Source organism: Homo sapiens, chromosome 4 (genome assembly GCF_000001405.40).
Source record: "Homo sapiens chromosome 4, GRCh38.p14 Primary Assembly".
Classification (NCBI taxonomy): domain Eukaryota; kingdom Metazoa; phylum Chordata; class Mammalia; order Primates; family Hominidae; genus Homo; species Homo sapiens.
In genome coordinates, this window is record NC_000004.12 from 85,473,608 (window position 1) to 85,498,800 (window position 25,193).

Sequence of the window (25,193 nt, forward strand, 5' to 3'; positions counted from 1 at the left end):
TTAATGTTATTTTCCAGCTTTCATCTGAAACTGCCCATCAGCATTCACCTGCTAGGGTGTTGCTAGAACATGTAAGGCCATGTGGGTTGATGAAGGTAATTTATTCCCACCAATTGGAAAATAAGCTACATTACTTCTAGCTTAGGAATTCCATACATATTTTTAAAATGAAATATGAAACGCAATTTTTTCCCCACACAAATTAATTTGATTCATTAAAGGGCTGAGAATTCTCCCACCAGAAAATCAAGTTTATAGTAGGACCTCAGCATGGGATGGGGTAGATTCGTTTCTCCAAGAACTTGGAGAAAGAGGACAAAAAGGAAAAACATATCAGTGTCCACTCAGCCTTTTATTTTTGGTGTTTCTAAAACTAAACATTTGCTCTTCTTCCATATCCCTCTCTCACTGGAGATCCCTAGTGAGGACACCCCCATTCTGTGTCTTAAGGATATCTGGTGATGATTTCTAAAAGAGAGTTTCTTTTATTAGTAGTAGCAGTAGTAATTGTTCGAGACGGGGGTGTCACTCCGTCACCTAGGCTGGAGTGCGCTGGCACAATTATAGCTCACTGCAGCCTTGACCTCCTGGGCTCAAGGGATTTTCCCGCTTCAGCCTCCTGAGTAGCTGGGACTACAGACATACGCCGCCACGCCCAACTTTTTTTTTATTTTTTTAATTTTTTTTTTATAGAGACAGGAGTCTCATTATGTTGCCAATTTTGGTCTGAAACCCCTGGGCTCAAGCGATCCTCCTGCCTCAGCCTTCCAAAGTGCTAGGATTGCATGACTGATCCACTGTAAGTGGGTTTCTAAAACAGAGATCTTTACAAAGCTTTTTGAAATAATTTGACTCAGCATGCCAGGTAACCAGAACTGTAAGATCACAATTTGAAACAGACATTGTGGTGATGGTGGGAAGAGACGGCCTGCATCAAAACAATGTTTACTAGTTTGTCCTTTTGTCCCATATTGTGTAACTCCGAGAGTTCTTACACCACCGTAAGAAAGTAATTATACTTTGAATTTCTCTAAGGCTCTAGTTAGAGAGCATCCATCTAAATGTGCATTTCCAGGAATATTGCTTTAATGGCCCAGGTAATTCTAATTGGAGAAATAAAATGTTAGCGAGACAGAGTTGGTAGAAGCAAGTAAAACCGGTGTATGGGGTTTGGCCAATGAAATGCAGAGCTCCTTGAGGGCAGGAGACATGTATTCACCAACCTTCTCGCGCCCACAGCCCCAGATCTGTGGCCAACAAGTATCTATGATGCACTTGAAAGGAACGAGCGATGCCAGATGCGGAGGAACCAGGCAGGGCGCATTCTGTCAGTGGCGCCAGGCGGTGTAGCTCCAGCTCTCAGATAACCCAGGCTTTGGGAGGGCGGGGCTCCTGCCGGCCTCCCCTGTAGTGCGGCTCGAGTCCTGTGAAGCTACCAGTTGCCAAATGAAATCTGAAACCTCGAGCTGTGTCTGAGGGTTGGCCCCACTCAGTTGTTCCAGCCTCTTGTACTGTATATTTACACATTCACACACAATCACCCTTTCTAACTTCTGGGACTCTTTGCGCAACTGCTAGGATTTCTCAAGTGCATGTGGCAACACAGCCCAGCTCCGGGTGGAAACCAGCAGGGCTCTGGAGGGGCTCGGAGACCAGGGGAGCTGTCAAGGCTGCGGCGGGGACCAGAGAGGAGCCTGGCGGGGGTGGCTGGGTGGCTGGGGGAATCCCCCCAACTTCCCATCGCAGGCGCAGCTCTCTCGGCCGCCTATTTCCTCCGAAACCCGCGCTGCGGAGCAGCCCAGTGCATAGAGTTCAACACTTCCCCTTGTTGTGGAAAGTAAAGGAGCCTCACTACCACCTTTTTTTCTTTGCGTTTTCTTACTGCTGGTCCTGGGAGCCTTTTCCTTCGGAGCAGCAGCCCTGTCCGGCATCTGTCTTGAGCTCCCAGCAAGGTAGGTGATGCGGTCGCGAGGAAGTGCGCGGAGCTACCGCGGGAAGGACGGACGCGGCTGCCTGCGCCAGGGGAGGGGGCTGCGGGGGGCGGGGAGGGGGCTGCGGGGGGCGGGGAGGGGGCTGCGGGGGGCGGGGAGGGGGCTGCGGGGGGCGGGGAGGGGGCTGCGGGGGGCGGGGAGGGATCGCAGGAATCCCGTGCTGATGTAGCCTGTCTGTGTTTGTGTGTGTGTGTGCGCGCGCGCGCATGTTTGTGCCGGGAGACAGCAAGCTGGTAGTATGTCTTTCTGGCTTTAAAAATAGATGGAATTAATAAAAACCCTTTGTACAATTCAATTTCCTCTCTTGGTATCCATCCTCCCCTTCCCCTTGTTTGTTTCCTCTAGTATCTTATAGGAGTTCCCTATGTAACAGGCGCACAAAGATAGGTTTTAATAATAAGCATATATATTTGCAAAAATATATATTTTATATGTATAAAATATGTTTTAAAATATTTATAAATATATTACATATTAGAAATATATATTATAAAATATATACATATATTTGTAAACACAAAACGTTAGGGAATCTTTGGTGAATTTGAAGCCACTCAAAAGATTTTGTCCAAATGTTTTTAAAAATAACATTTAATGATAAACATGTAATATGGTCTCGTTTTTAGAAAATACTTAAGACTACATTTATTTTATACGTACCCAAATAGAAGGGAGACAATGTTACTCTGAATTCCTTAGATAGATTTTCAGCATCAACCAGTAATAGGGAGCCCAGACTTCTTTGTAGACTATATCTCGTTTAATTCATTTGAATTAAACAAGTAATTTCTCCAAGTAATTTCTGTTTCCAGCACATTTTATGTTACTCTTTTTTTAACCTTCCACGGCATCATTGTTTCATCTCTTTCTAAAAAGGAAATAAATAAATCGTGCTGAGTATTTGGAATATAAAAGTTGTTAAGGCTTTGCTTATACATAAATACATAAATAAAACAATATGTGTTGCTATGTCTACTAAGTAAGACAAATTCATTGGAATCCAGGGATATTTGCAGTAGAGTTTAAGAGCTTTACTCAGTTACTGAGTAGAAGATGTACAGACGGATTAAATACAAACAATCTGTCCCCAGTTCCAATTAGAACTCAAAACCAATCCTTCAGGGCAAAAATGGATGACGCTATTGAACTGGGCATTGTAAAATAAAACACACAGAATGTATGTATTAGAAAAAGCCAGAAAACAGCCATAAAGTCACATCAGACTTGTGAAGATCTCACTCCCCCTTTTAAATTTCTTAATTCTTCCTCTTTTCTGGGCATATTTCAACTTGTAAGAGAGCTCAGTAATAAAAGTTACCATTTTATCTTCCCTGACTGCCTGGCCTTCAGGTAGCAAGTCCAGAAATCTGTTCTCTCTAGAGCCATTACTTAGTGGTCAGAGACTTCACCTTTGACATCTTGGAGGACGGAAATATTGACAAAACTCTGAAATAAATAACATCCTACCATTCACAGGCAGTATATTCTTGGTGGAAGACCTTTAAGTGGGGATAAGAGATAAACTGAGTTTTTCAGATCTGGAATTTAGTTTGAGGTATTTGGAAGGAATATAAAAGAGGTATGGTACTAGGAAAAATAATCGGTAATTCTTTCTGCATGTGGAGGGGCTGTTGAAACTCAGACTGTCCTTGGCTTTCAACTATATTACTTGGTTTTATTACTTCATCTCAGGGGTTTGGATTTGAGATGAGGTGGTTTCTCTGTAATATTCTTCTGTGCCTTACATACCCTGAATCTGAACTATTTTGAAAATATAAGCCTGATAAGAAGTGGGAAAGAATTAAGTTATCTAGAAAAAAATCCACTGCAGAACAAATGGCAATGCATTCTTCCAGACTAGAACATAGATTTAAGTGTAAAAGTGTTTTTGGGTGAAATCCCCAGGGAAATCCTTTCAGCTTTTGCTGGGGATAGTAATGGCCAAAGCTCTGAGAGCTTTCATGGATCATGGTTTTATTTACTGTGTGATCTTGGACTCTGCAGGGTGAAGGGTAAGGAGTGGGCAGGAAGGGTGAGGAATGTGCAACAGGTGGTGATGAGTAGTCCGAGTATGATTACTTTGCTGTCTTAGCCAAAGCCCTGTTGGTGTTTACCAACAGTTCCCTTAATATTTTCACTGTGACCTACTGGCCCATTGACGAGTGTTTTCTTTCCGGCTCGATTAAAGTCTGGGTTGGTTTCTCAGGGCTGAAAGCAAGCGGTGCTACTGTACAGTTCAGGCCGTGCGTTTGTTTCCTGTTCTTAGTGTGTGTGGTGCTGTAGCACCGTCTTAGTCGCTTGTAGTTATTTTCCTGTGAATTTTCTGACCAGCAGTGAAGGGTTCTTTTCTCATGAATTGAGCTATGTCATGCTGATTCCTTCTTTCTGCCATGTTTCAGTTTCTGGTACAAGTGGGTGCTTTGGAAAAACAAGATGGGGAAGGTAGGTAGAGTCTCAGTCTGGAGCCCAGTAACAAGGGACAGCCACCCAATTGGTTACATGTGGGTGTGGAGGAGGTTGGTGATAACAAGAGCCTGAGACATCCATTCTTCACTGATCACATTTTATAGAGGAAAAAGCAGAAGATATTTAAAATGGAACGATGCCTGTTTGCTCTTAAAGCCATGGCTAAAGGACTAAGATCTCTCCCAGATACAGAAAGATATTTAAAAATACAGTTGTTAAATGGTCAGCTTAGCCATGAAGTTAATGTTCTTCATGTGAAGAGTGGAAGCCTCACATCGAGTCTCGCAATGGTAACCCATCTGTCTTTGCTATACAAACTCAAACTTTACAAGGTTCTGATGGCTTCAGCAGCTAAGTACAAGCACATTTGGAAGTGGAGGGATTATTGTGATGAAGAATCAAAGAATATTCAGTTTTCAGTGGTTATTGTGTACATTTGTGCAAAAAAGCAGCATCTACACTCCACTGTGGCATTGCTACAGTTAATCTTTACAAAGTCAGATCTAACTGTGTAAGTCTCTTTATCTAAAACCTTTGTTGGATTCCAATGACTTACAATATTTAAACTCTTTAGTATAGTTTCTAAAAGCTCTTCCAAGCCCTTTCTTTTTAGCTCCCCCTTTGTGTACAAGGTCTCCTCACTGTTCAGGCTTCTGATCTCTGGTTCATGGATTCATTCTCCTGGAATGCCTTCTGTCTGAAAGTCCCTCTTGATTCTTGGTGGCTCACTTCCAGTGGAACTTCCTTCGGGAAAACTTACCCAATTCCGTGAAGAATTAATCATTTCATCTTGTCTGCTTCTATAGCATTTTGAACATACTTTGAATAATTGTTGCAATAATTTTTATGTATTTCCCCTGTCCTCTCTCACAACTACTGTGAGTTCCTCACTGGGTAGATTGGTGGTGGGGGAGCCACCTGAATTCAAGCCCCCAGCCCAGTGTTGGAAACATAGTACACATCTGTTAATGTTTCCCCAATAAGTGGGCAAGTGAAGTCGTCAATAAATGAAATACTGGTGCACTCCAACTTATGAAGATAGTTATATCTCAGAAGTCCATTTAAAAAATGTCTATTTGGTCTTAGAGTTCATTTTCCAAATATAACAATGCTACAAAACATAATCCACTTTCCATACCACCCCACACATGCCTATTTAATCTCTATAATAGATGAAATATTGTGCTTTTGCATATCTAAAGCAAAAGCAAAACAAACAAAAACTACTGTGAAATCATCTTTTTCTTTTGGACATCACAAAATACACTTGAGTTTAAAGAAAATAGAAACAATTATAATAGATATACATTTTCCACAACTGTGTTTTATATTGTACTATAAAATCTGTAATCTGTGAAATCCAAGTGGGAGGTCCTGGATTTGGCTGTGAAGACTAATAATGAAGTTAAATTTGGAGATCCTGCTTATTGAATGGGCAATAGTCTTAATTAATCAAATAAAATAGAAACACTAATTTTGGCTATTTAATAATTATCTGGAGTGCTGGTGCTTGAGGGAAATTAATTAAAGGAGAATGTGGAGCTGGATGGAGAAGAGGAAATTTAGAGGGGCAGCTTCTTTCATGTTATAGTTTCTTTATTGTATTGATTTTCCTTTCATCTCATTTGAGCACTGAGGCAAATCCAAAGTTTCTTCCTGAAAAAAATTCTTTGTCTGCAGTTATTTTTGCTAATATGTAGAAAGGGGCTTACACACTGTTTAGACTAAAATACATATGGGCTTATTTTATTTTCAGAGCAATGTTACCTTTGTCATGTGCATACTGCCAGTTAGCACGTGGATAATACGTATTTTGATCAAGAATTCATACGTGTGGTTCAGGGTATAGCCAGGGATTGAAAGCTCAAGTTCCTCCTTATTCAGCATCTCTGAAAAGCCTGGAACTACTATCACTGATATTTAAGAATAATAGTCCAATCGCTAATTGCTCTAAGTTTTCTAAACTCTCTATCTATATCAAATTACATAACTGGAAATGTACTTACTATAATCACATTACAATACTTTTTTGTTAAAATGTCAAAATGTCTTTATTACACTATGCTTTAATATGATACCCCCCCTTTTTAACTACTGAGAGTCAATATAAAAGAGATGAGCTGAAAAGGAAAGAAATATCTTGGCACCTTATGTTATGCGTTTCAAATTCTTTATATAAGGATTTCCATGATAAATTCCTTTTTGCCTAGACTGCTAGGAATTTTTTAAAGTATATCTCTTCTGATTAACTAGTGGGTTTTTTTGGTTAGAAAAAAGACAGGCTAAAAATTCACCATGCTTCTCAGTTTGACTTGTCACCCAAAAAACTCTGAACTAAATTTGATGCTCAATTGTACGCCAGTCAAGCTTTTTGTATGACATGGTTCACATCATCTTATTGTCACTTTTAATACCCTTATGATACCCACAAGTGTACTAAGCTAATTAAGCTAAGTTAAATCCATGATGAAAACAGATTGAATAGTTACATCACGTTTTTTTCTTGATACAATTAGTTAAATATTTATAAATTTGCATGGTATGGCTTTAGTTTTTTGGAACCAATAATTGTTTTCTAGGTCATTTTTTGTAGTTCCTTGAAACATTCTCTGTAGTGCTTTTATAATCCCTGATAGATAAAATGACCTTTCTTCCAAATGCTACATTTTTTAAAAAATGTAGGAAAAAAATCACATTTTAGTAACTTTGAAAGTAGATACTAAGGCCAAACATGAGTTCTTTTCAATATGTGTATCACAGATGTATAGAAGAATTCCCTTAGGGATGTCGCTGAGAAGGGTAAGAGAAAACCTTTTGTTTTTTCTTACAAATTGAATCTATCAAAAAATTGAGGCTGATGGAGCTGTAATTAGGGCTGTTTTCAAACCATCAAATTGAGCCTTCAGAAAATAAAGTAATTTTTCAAATTCTCCAAAAAGGGAGAATATAACTTTCATTTTGTCTTGAGTTTTTTTCCCTCTCCTTGAATCTAAGACTCTCATAATAATAATCATCCTAAAGAATTAAGTACTTCTTCTACGTACCAAGTACTCCATGAGATATTTTTACATACATTACTTCTGATTTTAGTAGTAATTAGAATTAGTAATTCTAGATGTAATCTATGTTATATTTAATCCAGATATTTTTATGACTATTGTATGGGGATGTTTAGGCTCAGAGAGGTAAATAAAGTTACCCAAGGTAATGTAGACTTGAACATCAAAACCACATCTGCATAAGTCCAAATACCCTGACATATTTACTATGTCCCTTTCCTCTCAGTGCTTTTCAATTATGAATTTTCAAATAATAAACTGTGTATTTCATGGGTTTGGCATGTAGGATAGATCCTGATCTCAATATGATTCTCATGAACTGGCCTTGGAGCTCTCTTGCAGGTCTTCTAGATGACAGCATCCTAGTGCTGATGAGTTGGGACCTGTGGGATGGGTTACCACTACCAAGGTTGGCTAGTGAGAAAAGAGGCTCCATCTACCATAGGCCAGTAACTGAATCAATCTATAGTGATTAGCCTAACCAGACTATTTTCTGGTGAGAAGTGAACAGGAAAGGTGTGGTCCACAGAGATCCAGTAATCTATATCCATTACTTCATTCCATGACATGGGGACATACGTCCTGGGAGCACTGTGAGCAACAGGTGGAGGCAAAGAGGAGGCAAGTGGTCCCCAGTTTAAGAATAGAGCCCCAGCTTGGGAAAGCTGAAATAAAACAAAAAAGGATGATTTCTTTGGGGAGATAGCAACTGAGAAAAGAAGAAAAGTTGGGTTAGTAGTGTTAGTACTCACTGGGCACGCAGAAGTAAAATGAGCTACAGGGAATGGGATTTCAAAGCCAGTCTTTCTCAGAGAAGGGCAATTATTAGAGGAATTATGGGAGTGCATCTCACTCCTGTTTGAGGAGATACCTAGAGAAGAGAATTCTACAGCTACCTTGAAGAGTCATCTTTGATTGTTTCATTTTGTTGGAACTATCTGGTTTAAAATTTTCTTATATGGAGAAGCTTCCAGCAAGAAAATATGATCCGGGGGAGTTAAAACAGCCTGATGTTATCTTCTTGCAACCTAACTGTGTAAACCCAGGATTAGCCACAAAAATACTACCTTCAGTGTCATTTTGGTTTTCACTTCCCATTATGGTTTGTCATTGTGAAATCGTCAAGTGAAATGTTGATGATTTTATATAACATCATATATGTGTTATACAGCAGATCTCTGCTTTCTCACATTTCTAAATAATTTGTTGATTGGAGACTTCATTTATTGGTGACAACTTATGCTTTCATCGTGGGATAACTTTTCAGTACCTATAAGATTAGGTAAGGTTGGTGGATTCCAAGGAGGAGCTGGGGTCTTTGTGCCTGGAGACAGGTAGAAGCCATGGGAACTGCCTCATGAGGAGCTCTGAGAACCCCTGCACAACAGGTCAAGCTGCCGAGGGAGGATGAAAGGGGGAGGGGCAGAAGCAAGGTCACAGGATAACAAGTGCCAGAAGCCAAGAAATCAGGAGAAAAGGCAAATCCAGAGACAGTACCGGGAACTAAAAGCCAAGGGAAAGGGAAAGGAGACAATGTTTGATGTGACAATTAAGAATGCCATTCCTATGTAAGAATAGATAACAATGATTGAAGCCTTACTATGTGCTAGTTTGGCCCTGTGCTTGTCATAGGTTATCTCATTTAATCCTCACAGTTCCTACATGAGCCCTATCTCTCTCTTATAGATGGAAAAACCAAAACCTAGAGAGGCTTAGTAGCTTGCCAAAAATCACACAGCCACTATGTGGTAGATCTGGGATTCAAATTAAAGTATCTCACTCCAAGAGAGCAACCTTTAACTGTTATGCTCTGGAATTAGACCTACATTCTAACCTGGCTCTGATATGCTTAAGCCCTGCAACCTTGGGGAGGTTGCATTCACCGATTTTAACTACAGTTTTCCTCTCCTTATATATGGGCATTTAATGACACCTACTTCATAGTGTTAATGTGAGTTCTTAATTTATGAAGTGAGCAATGCATGAAAAGACTGGAGGGGTGTCTGGCACCTGATAAATATCAATACAAGTTAATAGTTATTATTAAATTCAGTGACAAACAGGGGGAATCCTGAGCAGTATTTTTCAAATTGTAGGTCTTAATCTAACAGTGGTCATAAAATCAAATTACTGGCTTATGACCAACATTTCTTTTTGAATGAAAAAGAATAGAATAAGATAGAATAGATGGAAAAAAAAACTCAGTGTTCATTATATTTAGTAAAAATAGGCCAGGCGCTGTGGCTCATGCCTATAATCCCAGCACTTTGGGAGGCTGAGGTGGGTGGATCACCTGAGGTCAACATGGCGAAACTCCGTCTCTACTATAAGTACAAAAATTATCTGGGCGTGGTGGTGCATGCCTGTAATCCCAGCTACTCAGGAGTCTGAGGCAGGAGAATTGCTTGAACCCTGGAGGCGGAGGTTGCAGTGAGCCGAGATGGCGCCACTGCACTGCAGCCTGGGCAACAAGAGCGAAACTCCATCTCAAAAATAAATAAATAAATAAACAAACAAAAATAAAAAATATAAATAAATAAAAATTGTTTCATATGTTTTAATTTGTGTGTGTGTGTGTGCATTTCATACACTGGGTAGAAATGAAAAATGTGCTTCTGATTATTTATAACTGTCAAAAAATAAATATTTTTAAAAACCTTTAAGGGTGCAATTCTCAAGTGTGGTACCAGGACCAGCAGCATCAGTTCCACCTGAGAAATGCAAATTACTGAGCCCCACCCAGGACCAGCCACTGCCTTTAACAAGGCCTCCAGGTGATTCTGATGTACACTAAAGCTTGAGGACCACTTATTATTCAAAGGTGGCATTTGGAAATCATGAAAAAGCTAGATACTTAACATATATCTAAATACTTAAGAGTGATTAAAAGTACACATTGATATTGTATTGATTGAAGATTTTAACTGGCCACAGGATGCTGTCCAGTGTTTGTGTGACTTCAATTTCGTGTAGGTTTTTTCCCTATTTTCCTATGCCATCTACTCATAGTGCAGCTGGGTAAGTCCCACAGAAGTCCATTAGTTTATATGTAAAAGGATGCTGACTAGCTAGATTCTGTACCTTCTTCTAGAACTATACATTGTTTATATGTTGCCCTGAGCCCGGGACTCTAAAGTATATTCAATTTGAAATATTTTAATGATAATAGTTCAGATGCCTAAATGACTGTCAAATTAGAAATTATTAAAAATTCATAAAAACAACACTGGGTATTTTATTAATTGACATATTTGTTTTGAAAAGCACAGGCAGATGGGAAATTGGAAATGGAGTTAATGCAATAATAATATTGATGATAAAAATTTGATAAAAATGGAAATATAAATTTGTACACTGAGAATTGTTTTCTCCTCAAAGAAAACAGTGAGTGTATTTAAGATATTTGTTGATTGTACGTCATTACTTAAAAGGGCAAGCAGATGATATTTTATTCACCCCCCTTTGTGCGTTGTGTGTAATGTTATTTACTGTTTTTGTTTATGTTTTTCTTTGAGACATGGTCTCACTTGCTGCCTAGGCTGGAGTGCAGTGGTGCCATCTCGGCTCACGGCAAATTCCACCTCCTGGGTTCAAGCGATTCTCCTGCCGTAGCCTCCCGAGTAGCTGGGACTATAGGCGTGCACCACCATGCCAGGCTGATTTTTGTCTTTTTAGTAGAGATGGGGTTTCACCATGTTGGCCAGGCTGGTCTCAAACTCCTGACCTCAAGTCATCTGCCTGCCTCAGCCTCCCAAAGTACTAGGATTACAGACATGAGCCATTGGCCATCATTTACTGTTGTATTTGGTTTATGGTTGGTAGGCTGTATTTGCTTTAAGACTTAAAAGCATCCTATTTGAAAACACTGCATCCAGATTTGCTAGAAAAGACTTGAAGGTGTTCTTTTTTGTTTTTTTCCTTAAAAAAATATTGACCTGGGGCCAGGCGCACTGGCTCACGCCTGTAAGCCCAGCACTTTGTTGAGGCCAAGGCGGGTGGATCACGAGGTCAGGGGATCGAGACCATCCTGGCTAACACGGTGAAACCCCGTCTCTACTAAAAAAAATACAAAAAATTAGCTGGGCTTGGTGGTGGGCGCCTGTAGTCCCAGATACTCGGGAGGCTGAGGCAGGAGAATGGCGTGAACCTGGGAGGTGGAGCTTGCAGTGAGCCGAGATCGCACCACCACACTTCAGCCTGGGTGACAGAGCAAGACTCCATCTCAAAAAAAAAAAAAAAAAAAAAAAAAAAAAATATATATATATATATATATATATATATATATATATATCTCCTTGGATTTTTAAAATGTAGGCTTTCAGTAGGTATATATATTAACTGTATGTTTCAAAAGGTCCTCCTTTATTTTTTGTTTAAATAAATGCTATGGTTGGAGAAAAGTGAAAAGGACATTGAGAAAAGATTTGGGAAGATGTGGACTCTAATCCTACCTCTGGTATTAATTAGTGCCTGAGAACTCAGGCAAATCACTTAGTTTTTCTAGACTTCAGTCTCCTTACCTGTAAAATAAGAGGGCTAGAGTAAATTCTTTTTAAGGTTGTTCCAACATAGAAAAGTCTATGCTGCCAAATGGCAGTGTGCTCCTTTTGAACAGTTTTTTTTTTTTTTTTGAGACAGTCTCACTTTGTCACCCAGGCTGGAGTGCAGTGGTGATCTTGGCTCACTGCAACCTCTGCCTCCCAGGTTGAAATGATTCTCTTGCCTCAGCCTCCCGAGTAGCTGGGATTACAGGCATGCGCCACCATGCCTGACTACTTTTTATTTTTGTATTTTCAGTAGAGACGGGGTTTCACCATGTTGGCCAGGCTGGTCTTGAACTCCTCACCTCAAGTGCTCCACTCACCTCGGCCTCCCAAAGTGCTGGGATTACAGGCTGCCGTGCCCAGTCATTTAGAATAATTTTGATAAGACTGTGGCTATGTGTATGCATTTGGCAGAACTCTGAAAAATGGGTATTTGATTTATTTGATTTTATAGAGGAGTGAGGATCTGGAAGGGATATCTATAACATGATAAAGTTTAGTGTGACCATTCCTTGACAGATTTCATGTACCATTGGGCTAGTTTTCATCAGCTGTGGTTTTGGGGGGATATGTGATACCCTAACAAGGAGGAATTTGAAAATGTATGAGGGTGTTTTTTTTTTATCTTGACAATGACTGGATGAAGCTACTGGCATTTAATACAAGGGTCAAGATACCAAATGTCCTGCAATATGTGTATGATGGTCCGTCACTACAATGAATTTTTCTTCCTCAAATATAAAAGATCTCCCCATTGAGAAACTGGCTAATTAAGTTAAAAGATTGAGTTTTAACTTTATTTTGTGAAATCATCTGGGAAATTGGAAATAAAGTCATACTTTCTGCTGTTTCAGTAAAACAAATGCAAACAATATCTAAGATGACAACTGGTGTTTATGATGCATGAGAGAGAACAGCCTCCAGCTCTCAGCACTATGTATTGACGATGCAGTAAGAAAAGCAGTGAAAATATTGGCTCTGTTAGTACAGTGAGCAAACATAGCTTAAGGACATACTAGTAATAGTTCCTTTAAATTACTAGTTTCTTGATGACAGCCATATTTTTAATGAAATGGCTTGCGGAAGTTTCCATTCAATGTAACTAAACATTGCTTGAGTTCAAATAAATGCTATGATGAAAGCATTGCATGCATAGATTTCATTCCCTGTGATAAGAAATGCTACTAGATTAACAGTGCTGTACAATATACTGAGTAGTTCCTATCGCTCCTCCTGAACTTGTGCTGGCCTCCTCCTGCATCTGTATTGGCTTTGTAAATTCTGGGTCAGGCTAAGGATAAAGCTCCTTCAGCAGGAGTGACTCATCCAGGGCCTTTTCAAGAACCTTTGTAATGTTTTCAAATTTAAGGTGAACTTTGCTTTGGAAACACTTAAATTACAGGATCATTTTCTTAAAATTCATTTCTTTCTTTCATCTTACTTCTTGCATTTGTCAAGTCCTTGGTTTGCTTGGTTGCTTGTGTGTATATATATATAAATATATATTTATTTTATATATATAAAAATATATATTTATTTTATATATATAAAAATATATATTTATTTTATATATAGTAAATATATATTTATTATATATAAATATATATTTATTTTATATATAGTAAATATATATATTTATTATATATAAAATATATATTTATTATAAATTTATATACATTTATAATATATATAAATATATAAATATATATTTATATATATTATATAAACATGTAAATATATATTTATTATATATTATATAAATATATAAATATATATTTATTATATATTATATAAACATATATTTATTACATATTATATAAACATATATTTATTACATATTATATAAACATATATTTATTACATATTATATAAACATATATTTATTACATATTATATAAACATATATTTATTACATATTATATAAATATATATTTATTATATTATATAAACATATATTTATTACATATTATATAAACATATATTTATTACATATTATATAAACATATATTTATTATATTATATAAATATATATTTATTATATTATATAAATATATATTTATATTATATATTATATAATATATATTTATTATATATTATATAATATATATTTATTATATATTATATAAATATATATTTATTACATATTATATAAACATATTTATTACATATTATATAAATATATATTTATTATATATATTATATAAATATATAATATATATAATAAATATATTTTATATATATATATTTATTTATTTAGAGACAGAATCTTGCTCTGTCGCCCGGGCTGTAGTGCAGTGGCGTGATCTCGGCTCACTGCAAGCTCTGCCCCCTGGGTTCACGCCATTCTCCTGCCTCATCCTCCTGAGTAGCTGGGGACTACAGGCGCCGGCCACCACGCCCGGCTAATTTTTTGTTGTGTATATTTTTTAAACTACTGCTTCTGTTCAGCTGTGAGACACTGTGGGTATGAAAGGTGTTGTATGGATAAAATTGTTGCCTAGCAAGCCGAAGCCACCTTGATATTTTCCACGAAAGAAATTCCTGCTCCCTCCGACTTTTTTTTTGCTAAACCTGGGTCTTAACACCTCCTGTGGAGAGGGGGAAAAGGGAGGTGTAATTTAAATGTATAACTTCACCTTTCCTATAAATTTGGTGAAAGTTTAGATTAGAGGAGAAGAATAAAATTACAGAAATATAAATAAAAAGTCTTTTAATCTTTCATGTTTACTATCTAGCTAGGCCTCCACAGCAGTCCAATAACAAATTAAAATTTATTCTAAATGAAATACAGCATTGTAGGTCCTCTTAGAATAAATTCATAGGACTTCAGAATAAAAGCCTGCTTAGAAAACAGCTATTACCATCTCTCCTCCAATCTTTCCATTGGAAAATGAATCCAAAGTGATTGAGGTGATTTGCCCCAGGACACGTGAGGAACAAGCATACCAGCCTCTTGAACTTTGGCAGCTGGCCTATTTCTCAGGAGCCTTTCTCACCTGGGGTTCCTTGAGAAAATTGAACTTAAATGCTCTCCTAAGACATCTGATGCATATAATGAATTGCCTCTTCTGCTTTGCAACTAGAAGGGTACTAGTTAAGTACCATCTTTGGCAAAAATGGAGAAAAGAGTCACTAGTATGATTTTCTGTGTTCCATTGTTTAGATGAGAAACATTTTGGCTCAAAAAGAGAAAGAGAATGTGTAATTAACATCTTTGAAAGCATTTTTATGGAGCTTAGATTAACCCTAAAGGCAGCTGAAAATTGTACCATATTGATTTCAAGGTGTAACTTGTAACTTGTTTTTGGTTACATTTTTAAGCTAATTCCTTCTACATTCCTTGTAATAATATTAATTATGTTTGAACCCATTTAAAGTAAATTGAATATTCTCCACACTGTAGATTTTCAATTAATTCAGCCTTCAAACCACATCAGAATTGTACATTATTTTATGATCTTCATGTGCCTGAAAAACAACAAATAAGTCTGATGGCATTTAACACTTAAGAGATTTCATGCAGAAAGTAAAAATAAAAACGAAAAATAACGGGTTAATCTCTTTAAGCACTGCCTTGACCAGTCAAATAATCACTGAAGGTGAGTGAGAGAATGGATGAGGAGAGAAAAAGAGGATTCAGCTCATGATGACTGCTGTGCAAATCTGAGAAACAGGGAGAGTTGTTTCTGTGCAGGGCTTTTATTATCTCTCTGTTTGCAGTCCCATCCTTGACTGTTTAATTTGTGGAACATTCCAGGGAGTATCCTTAGCTTCCCTGACATGAGCCTGAGACTGGGACTTGATGACTCAGAGGGACTCCTTTCTTAAACAGGAGAGGTCAAATAGAGCCAGTTGGCCCTGCAGCTCATGGCTCAGCTGGGTGAGACAGACTCTTCATCTGGAGCAAGGTGAGCCCTTTGTGCAGCTGAGCTGTGGGGTGCCAGAGAATGCTGCTCCACAAACCTTTGCAGGAAGCTTTGAAAAATATAGGATGTGGTCTCAGAAACACTGGGTTATTTCTGTAGCTCAAAAGAAAGAATACTAAATACTTAGATTTCCTTCCGACATTTGCTCATGGCTCAATGGTGTCCCTTCTGGGACTGTGCTTCTGATATATATTTCCAAGCAAGAATAGGACAGCAGTGGCTTGTGAGGGTTAGAACTTACTTGTTTAGCAAGTAACACTCGGACCAAATAAGGAGCAATAATAATAGTGGCATGTTTTTACTGCTGTTTTCTGTTAGTTTGATGTAACGAAGATTTTCTTAATCTCTTAGAAATAGCCATTAAGTAAAATAAAATTATATTGAACTATTTGATGGAAATGCCAAGCAATTAGTGTATGACATCATTTATGAGCTGTATTATTAATGTGAAATGCTAGAATAATTCAGCAAGAGTAAATGACATGCAAAGGTCATATTACCATGGGCCTGGAGGGGGCAGAAATGGGAGGGAGAGGGAGAATAAATATATATGTCATGTTAAGGTAGAATGTGATAAAATTACTGGTGATATTTTGTATTAGCCTGAGATATGCTGAATTACAGTTGGTGATGCTTTTTGTCAAGGTAGTTAGGGAACAGGTCTAGTGATTGCTTACAAGATTAGAGATTGATTCCTGATACCAATGTTGACCCATAAATTGTAGCTAGAACAATTTAAGACTGTGTTTACAGGCTTGGAGGCAGTCAGCAGAGGCCTCTGGTTCATAGGAACCAGGTTATATTTTGCCTTAAATCTGAGCTTTGCTTTGAAATAAAGATATTAGATGCTTTTTCTTGAGTTGGTAGTTCTTTTGCTTTGCAATTTCCTGGTATTCCATTGTTAAATTACAATTCTCTTTAGAATTCATTCACACATGAACCAGTTTACCCTTTCTGAATTTCGTGCCATAATTGATTTTAATAAGAGGCAGGGAAGCATCATTATTGTCTGACCATTAAGAATTATAGTTAAACAATCAAGCCATGGAACATTTGTTTGGGAGCTTTGAGGAAGGTTTTAATTAGCCCTAGCTCTTATTAGAATGATGCATTTACCTCTTGCAGGTCTATGAATTTAGCACTTTTTGTTTGTGGTGAATTAGTGGCCAGTGACTAGTATTTGATGGAATCAAAAAGATTTGTTATTTTGCCCCAAAACAGAGCTTGTATGACCAGACATTATAAAAGCCTTGATAATTGTAGAATTTATTAATAAAAATTTTCCCCACAGGGACCACTCAATATAATTCCAAATATCTCAGATTTTTCTCATCTTCATATGTTTATTCCAACACAAATGCTTCTTTCTGCAAACTCCTATTTGCCTTTGCTTAATATAATAGGTTTGTTTAGTTTTACATTCTCCTGTTATTTAAGCAAGATTGAATCTTTTTTTCCACCTGCAATTGGTATTTATAAGGGTCATACAAAACTTGTTACTTTAGGTTGATCAATTACCTTATTATCTTGTTTTGTCCCCTTGGAGGTTATGACAAAATGGTGCATAATACCAAATGTCTTGTAATTCATCACATAAAAATAATGTAATTTTAAGTTGATAACTTTTTCATAATTAATGATTGGTTTTAGATCATAATTTTTTAGCTTATTGATGGCTAATGTGGTACATTCTTCCATTTAAAGTAAGCCCTTAAGAAAAATAACAATTTTGTTATCTCTCATTTCCTCTGCTAATTTTTGTGTTTAACTTTAAATATCAAATTCAGAAATATAATTATAAAAATAAGTAACAGAAACTGTTCTATTCTGGTATTAATTGCCACTTACTGTTCTTGGACTTTTTCAATTATTTTAATTAATAAATCAGCTAGGCTGTATTTCAACTTGGACATTATCCAGAAATCACCTTGGGTCTGTTTAACACACACACACACACAGCTGTGTGGAAACCAGGCTGGAGGGAGCAATTATGCTGAGTAGGAGTCCCAAGAGGGGTTCTGTGTGCACTAGGTACTTCCTGGGGACTTGGAACTGATGGTTTTTATCTAGGCTGTTGCCCTGAATCTATACTTGTTTCTTAGCCCAAGGAGGGCTCTGGCCAGAGTACTGTCAACCAAGTGTCTTGTGATGAGAACCTCTAATGCCTCTGGGTGTCTGGAGTGCTATCTCATTGAATTAGCCTCAAGTTGAACTCCCTTAGAAGTTTCAGCTGCTTCATGTTCTGAATTCTAATGAATTTGAAACTATACTGAGCAGGTGACAGCTGTGAGTGAGGGACCACATCACCAGCTTATTTACTTTTATTCTAATTCAAAGTGATAGGCCCCTTCCTCTTTGAAGTTAAATGTCTTGTTTCTATTCTTTCTCTAACCACTTTTTTGTCTTTTGTCTTTCTTCCATTTTGGTTCTTTTTATTTCCTCTCTCTCTTCCTCGCCATTCCCTCTTCCTCCCGTATTTCCTCCCTCTTCCCTCCTCCCTCCTTCCCTCCCTTCCTTCCTTCTTCTGTTCTTTGCCTTTTCTCTTTATTACCCTAGAACCTTGTCATATCAGTTTCCTCTAAGGACCAAACTTTCTTATGATCTTTTTCTTCCTCTATTCCTTCTTCTTATTATTACTGGTCATGGTGTTTATTGGCCCTCTTTCTTCTTCAGTTACACATTTCCAGGATGTGCTATCCTGGTCGATATCTTCGTTTCTTTTGGACTCCAAAGCCATGGACTAAATATTTCACTTTAATTGTTCAAAACTGCTTGAATGAACTGTTGTATAATTATTATTAGCTCCTCCTTTCTACTCCTATCCTCATAAAGCTTTTATGGAAATGTAAAACCAGATAAGCAGCTGGTTTGATAAATATTACTGTGATAATGGATTCAAAAAAGCCTATATTTAAAGAGTCAGTCTGCTCTAACATTCACTAACAGTGCCAAGCCACTTAAAACATTTTTTTAAATGGGGATAATTGCCAAACGGGATAACATGGCTGAAAACATTTCATGTTACAAATGATACTTATTGCTACTGAGATTTACTATCAAAGAGAGTCACTATTCAGTGTCACAGGACATTTCAAAATCTATATTTTATTTTTTTAACTTTTTATTTCAAAATAATTTGAAACATAAAAAATTGCAAAATGTATTCCCATATAACCTTTTCTAAATGTTAGCATTTTAGAGTTATCAAAACCAGAAAATTAACACTGATAAAATACTATTAACTAATCTGTAGTTGTTATTCAAATTTCATCAGTTATCTCACCAATGTCCTTTTTCTAGAGTAAGAGACAAACCGAAATCATACACAACATTTATTTGTCATGTCTCTTAGTTTCCTCCAATCTGGGTAGTCTTTCCGTATCTTACGAGATCTTGACACTTTTGAAGTCTAGTGACCAGGTATTTTGGAGAATGTCTCTCACTTTGTGTTCTGATAATAAAAGTCAGGTTGTACATTTTTGGCAAGAGTACCATAGAATTAGGGCTGTCCCCTTCTCAGTGCATCATATCAGGAAGCGCATGATGTCAATTTGTCTAAATACTACTGATGTTAACTCCAATTATTCATTCTAGGCTGGCCAGGTTTCTCTACTATAAAGTTGCTAGTTTACTTTCTGTAACTAATAAGCATTATGTGGAGAGATACTATGTAAATGACCAGTTTTTTCTATCATACTTTCAGCTATGAATTTTGTACTCATTGATCATTCTTGCCTGAAACAGTTGTCACTATGGTGTTTGCCAAATGGCGATTTTCTATCTTCATAATTCCTTCTACCATTATTAGTTAAAATTCTTCTACGCGGAAGTTTTCCCTTACCCCCCACTTACTTACTTTCAATTATTTATGTATATCAGTATGGACTCGTGGGTATCTGTTTCATTCTGTGAGCTATAATCCATTACAACTGATATTTATTTTGTTGCTCAAATTGTCCACATTTGACCATTGGAAGCCCTTTAAGTTGGCTCTTGTGCCCTTTCTTCATATCACCATCATTTTTGAACATTCTTCTTTTCTGGTACCACAAGACACTCTAGGCTCTTCTTGTACTCCATTTGATCCAGCCCATGAGTCAATCATTTTCTAAAGACACCAGATTTCTGTTATTAAAGAATAGAATTTAGAAACCAAAAATCTGGGTGTTACTTGTGCTTATTCACAAAAGAACGTATCTCCTTTTTTCTACAGTCTATTTACTTATTTGCTTAAATCTTCCATACACATAAAGTACTTTCAGAATTGTTCATCCATACTTCTGTGAAAAATATTTACTAACAAGAGTACAATATTTAGCCTTAGAATATAGGGTCAAAACGCTTTATTTCCTAAGTTACTTTTCTTCTCTTCCTCATCGTGAAAAATTTTGTGCTTTGACCTACAAGGAAAACTATGGTGACTTCATGTTGACCTGAATATTTACATACTTAAGTGAGTTGTCTACAAATCAAGGTTGTATTTTTTAATAGACTGATTTTAATACTTGCTTTGTTGTTGATATGAAAATGAAGCCTCATATTTCTATCATGTTTTCTTTTTTTTCTTTATTTCTTCTAAAAAAATGGTATGGATATGCAGAACGTGCAGCTTTGTTACATACGTATACATGTGCCATGGTGATTTGCTGCACCTACTGACCCATCCTCTAACTTCCCTCCCCTCACACCCCATCCCCCAACATCGTGTGTGTGGTTCCCCTCTCTGTGTCCATGTGTTCTCATTGTTCAACACCCACTTAATGAGTGAGAACATACAGTGTTTGGTTTTCTGTTCCTGTGTTATATGTAACATTATTATACATTTTTTTTTTACTCTTTTAATATCTTTAATATTGGCCAAGGCGGGTGGAACACGAGGTCAAGAGATCGAGACCATCCTGGCCAACATGGTGAAACCACGTCTCTACTAAAAATACAAAAATTAGCTGGGCGTGGTGGAGCCTGTAGTCTCAGCTACCCGGGAGGCTGAGGCAGGAGAACAGCTTGAACCCAGGAAGTGGAGGTTGCAGTGAGCCAAGATTGCACCATTGCACTCCAGCCTGGTGACAGAACGAGACTCTGTCTCAAAAAAAAAAATAAAAAATAAAAAAAATTAAGTCTGTCATGTAGGAAATAAAATAACAGAAAATAGCCTTCTTTCAAGTTTCTGTAACGGAATACAAGATAAAACTTCATGAAAACTCTCAAGAAAAAGAGTGACCTGGCCGGGCGCGATGGCTCACGCCTGTAATCCCAGCACTTTGGGAGGCCAAGGTGGGGAGATCATGAGGTCAGGAGTTCGAGACCAGTCTGGCCAACATAGTGAAACTCCGTCTCTAATAAAAATACAAGAAATTAGCTGGGCGGGGTGGCGGGCGCCTGTAGTCCCAGCTACTCGAGAGGCTGAGGTAGAATGGCATGAACCCGGGAGGCGGAGCTTGCAGTGAGCCGAGATCGCGCCACTGCACTCCAGCCCAGGCGACAGTGCGAGACTCCGTCTCAAAAAAAAAAAAAAAAAAAAGAGTGACCTGAGCCAAAAATGACCCTCCACTTTTACAAACCATTTTGTCTTCCTGAAAGACATGACCTATAAATGACCGAGTATGAACAGTATCTTTACACTTCTTTCTTTCCTTGATTTGTTTCCGGGTTTCAGCGAAGAGGTAAAGGGTCAGAAGGAAGAGAGCGGCTAGTAGAAGCTGAAAAGGGGAGAAGTAGGCCAAGTCAAGTAAGTACAGAAGTACAGAATTTTTTTTTTTTTTTTTTTTTTTTTTTGAGATGGAGTCTCACTCTGTTGCCCAGGCTGGAGTGTAGTGGCGCGATCTCGGCTCACTGCAAGCCTTGCCTCCCGGGTTCATGCCATTGTCCTGCCTCAGCCTCCCGAGTAGCTGGGACTACAGGCGCCCGCCACCACGCCCAGCTAATTTTTTTATATTTTTAGTAGAGACGGGTTTTCACCGTGTTAGCCAGGATGGGTCTCAATCTCCTTACCTGGTGATCCGCCCGCCTCGGCCGCCCAAAGTGCTGGGATTACAGGCGTGAGCCACCGTGCCTGGCCCAGAAAAATTTTACTATTATTAATCAGGAATTACAGGATATGAGGGGAGATTGACTACTAGTAGTGTGTCTATTTTTAACAGTGTATCAGAATGTAATACTCTACAGCATGGCAGGCGTTGAAAGCATTTTCTGATGCCTACATAGAAGTAGACAGAGGCATGAGAGTGATTCAGTGCTCAGCTGTCTCTCCTTAGCTGTAATTTATGACTGTCAGCATTATTTCTCTTGGATAGTGAAAGAAAATTTTAATCCTTTTATAGTATCACATATTTTATAGAATTTGTTTGTGTCTCATTTTGACTTTGTAGCTCCCCAAACCCTAGAGAACATGGGAAGTAGTTAGCCTACTGTTATCTTTGTTGTGAGATTTTCATCTTTTATCATAAATAGAATAGCGAACTCTTTCTTTCAGTGAAGCACTCTTCCTCCTAGTCACACTTAGTGATTACAAAGTTCTGTTTTCTTTTATACAAATGCCAACATTTTTGTAACTTCTTGGCTTATGAAGAGTGAGTGTTTAGAGTTACCGGGAACCATGAAAAGGAAGATACCACCGGTGTTTATTTACTGAGATTTAATAAGAGAGTCATCAATATGGCATTTTCACCCTTTTCCTGCCGAAATCTGGGAGAGCTTTTGGTTGCATGTGCCTTTCAGGCTTAGCATTTGTAAAACAGAAACAGCTTGTGAGTTTTACCATAGGACAGGGCTTTCAGCAGAAATAGGTCTATCACAGTTACTGTGAATATGTGCACAGGAATCCTTGCTATGGTGGGAATGTTTGTTTGTTTACTTTTCATAACCAACAGCAAACAACTCTTCTCTGAAGAAATATATTTCTCCTCTGACTTTTGAGAAGATTTTAACGTTTTGCATGATGTGTAGATCACCTTTTGACCACAAATATATGTCACATCACATTGGACAGGTTTCAAATCACAACCGTGAAGTTCAACAGCATACTGATAAAAATGGCCATGCAACACTGTGAAGATTAACATGTAGCAAGCTCCCGGGTATATTAAGTGGTAATAATAAAAAAGGCAGAGTCTTAGGTGCCCCATAGTTCATGGTTTGCACCACATTTTCACACGAGTTTTGTAGATGTCTAACTACGGACACTAGCACCCATACTTTGGTGACAGGTCAAAAACCTTTTGGGAAATTAATATTACCCAAATGTGTTTTGGTGAAAGTCTATCCTTTCTGAGAAAAGTCCCGCCAACAAAATACAGAGAAATGAGTATGAAATTTAGGAATGAACCAAAAAAAAGTCATTTTGTGATGTTTACAAGTGGACAAGGAAGGAAGTCATTTTGGGCAAAGGGAACCCACATGCAAAGCCGTGTTATGAGAATATTGGATATTTGGCAAATGCCCCGAGTTTAGTGTGAATTTGTACACTGTTGATAAAGAGGAAGGAATGGAATCAGGAAATATGAAACGGTTAAAACGATTAAACTTGGTGACTAATAGAAGTAGTAAAGAAGAAAGGATTGGAAATATCCCAACCAACTGAGCTTATTAGTCACAGATGTTGGTGAATAAATCCCACCATGCCCCATCCATTCCTGACAAGCCCAATCAGGGTACAAAATCATGTGCTTTGGTGAGACCTAGAGATAAAGTTTCATGTCTCAGCTCTGTCAAAGTACTCTGTGTAACACTGGGAAAACAACTTCTGTGAGCTTTAAATTCAGCGTCTAGAAAATAATACTTATTTCTCAGAAATTTTGTAAAGATTAATTGTGGGAGAGAAGTCACTTTGAAATAATTATATAAATGCAAAATATATTATCTTCTTGTCCACTGCTACTAATTGTCAACATTAAAAATGTATATCTGCAAAATCAGTTCTTCTATGCTAAATTAAGAAATGCAGCACCGGCCAGGCACAGTGGCTCATGCCTGTAATTCCAGCAATTTGGGAGGCTGAGGCAGGTGGATCTCCTGAGGTCTGGAGATGGAGACCAGCCTGACCAACCTGGTAAAACCCTATTTCTACTAAAAATACAAATTAGCTGGACGTGGTGGTGCAGGCCTATAATCCTAGCTAAATGAGAGAATGAGGCAGGAGAATTGCTTGAACCCAGGAGGTGGAGGTTGCGGTGAGCCAAGATCGTGCCATTGCACTCCAGTCTGGGTGACAAGACCAAAACTCAGTCTGGAAAAAAACAAAAGAAAGAAAGAAAAGGAAAAGAAATGCAGCACCATGTCCCTAACTTTTTAGTTTTACTGTTGTAACAGTCTTTGAACACACGGCAGTTTTGCCAGGTTTGGGTCTCCCTCGGTGTTCAATTTCCTTCTCCAACTTGTAAATTTCTATTCTAAATAAAACAAGAGGTAATTATGGTTGAGTTCCTTTTTCTCTTAAGTTGGTTAATAAAAAGTGTAGAGTCCTTTATGCAAGTAAAATAAATGCACAAGCTAATAGTTTATTTTCTTTTCTTTGGTAACAAGAACAAGGAGATTTTTGTGAGGAAACAAAATACTTGTTTGCCAAGAATTTGTGATAATGTGTCAAAGGTGACTAATATCTTGAATCTCATCCAGACACCTACTACAGGGGAATTAAGGACACAGTAAAATAATGGCCATCTTATACCTGGGTTGGCTCCTAACATCAAATTATGATGTGGCTTGTGGACTAGGGAGCTGGGCCTGGCCATGCTAGCTTTGTGTGTGCTTTCCTTGCTCCTTTAAGCCAACACTAGAGAGAAAGCAGACTGAATAGTTGTGTTGCTATCTTCTCTGTGACCTACTTACTTTGGTATTCTAAATTTTTCAATTATATTAATGGAAAAAGGAGGAGAGCCCTAGAAGAGAGTGACCTGTGCCCTGTTTGTGAGCTCAGCCTCGTGCTGAACAGCCCTAACTCCCTGCCCCAAATGGGGAAATCCACGGGCCTGTGTAGATGTCTTGGCCACAAGGAAGTGAGGAGACCACAGGCCCGTGTAGTCATCTTAGCCACAAGGAAGTGAAGAGACTAAAGACAGTCTTTCTCTCCTAAAGCCTAGAGAAGAATTAGAATCGTGGGGAATTGATCCCAGGAATCTAGATTCTAACAGATTGCTCGAGTGAGCCTTCTCTACACTAAACTTCAAGAATATTTATGAAAAATTTCACCATCTTGTATGATACTTGTAT

General features: G+C 37.9%; 1 protein-coding gene across 1 annotated transcript in view, besides 1 other annotated feature; it reads left to right on the plus strand.

Moving 5' to 3' along the window:
* ARHGAP24 (Rho GTPase activating protein 24) overlaps positions 1,543–25,193 on the plus strand; it is a 527,517-nt gene continuing 503,866 nt past the window's right edge. Inside the window, exon 1 of the mRNA NM_001025616.3 lies at positions 1,543–1,952. The gene's annotated coding sequence lies outside the window, so the exon portion shown is untranslated. The remainder of the gene's footprint in view (positions 1,953–25,193) is intronic.
* Positions 24,795–24,844: an enhancer, noted in NCBI's record as "active region_21690". NCBI's record gives its function as "activates an Ori minimal core promoter by ATAC-STARR-seq in GM12878 lymphoblastoid cells {active_cell/tissue: GM12878}" and the evidence as "EXISTENCE:reporter gene assay evidence [ECO:0000049][PMID:35858748]".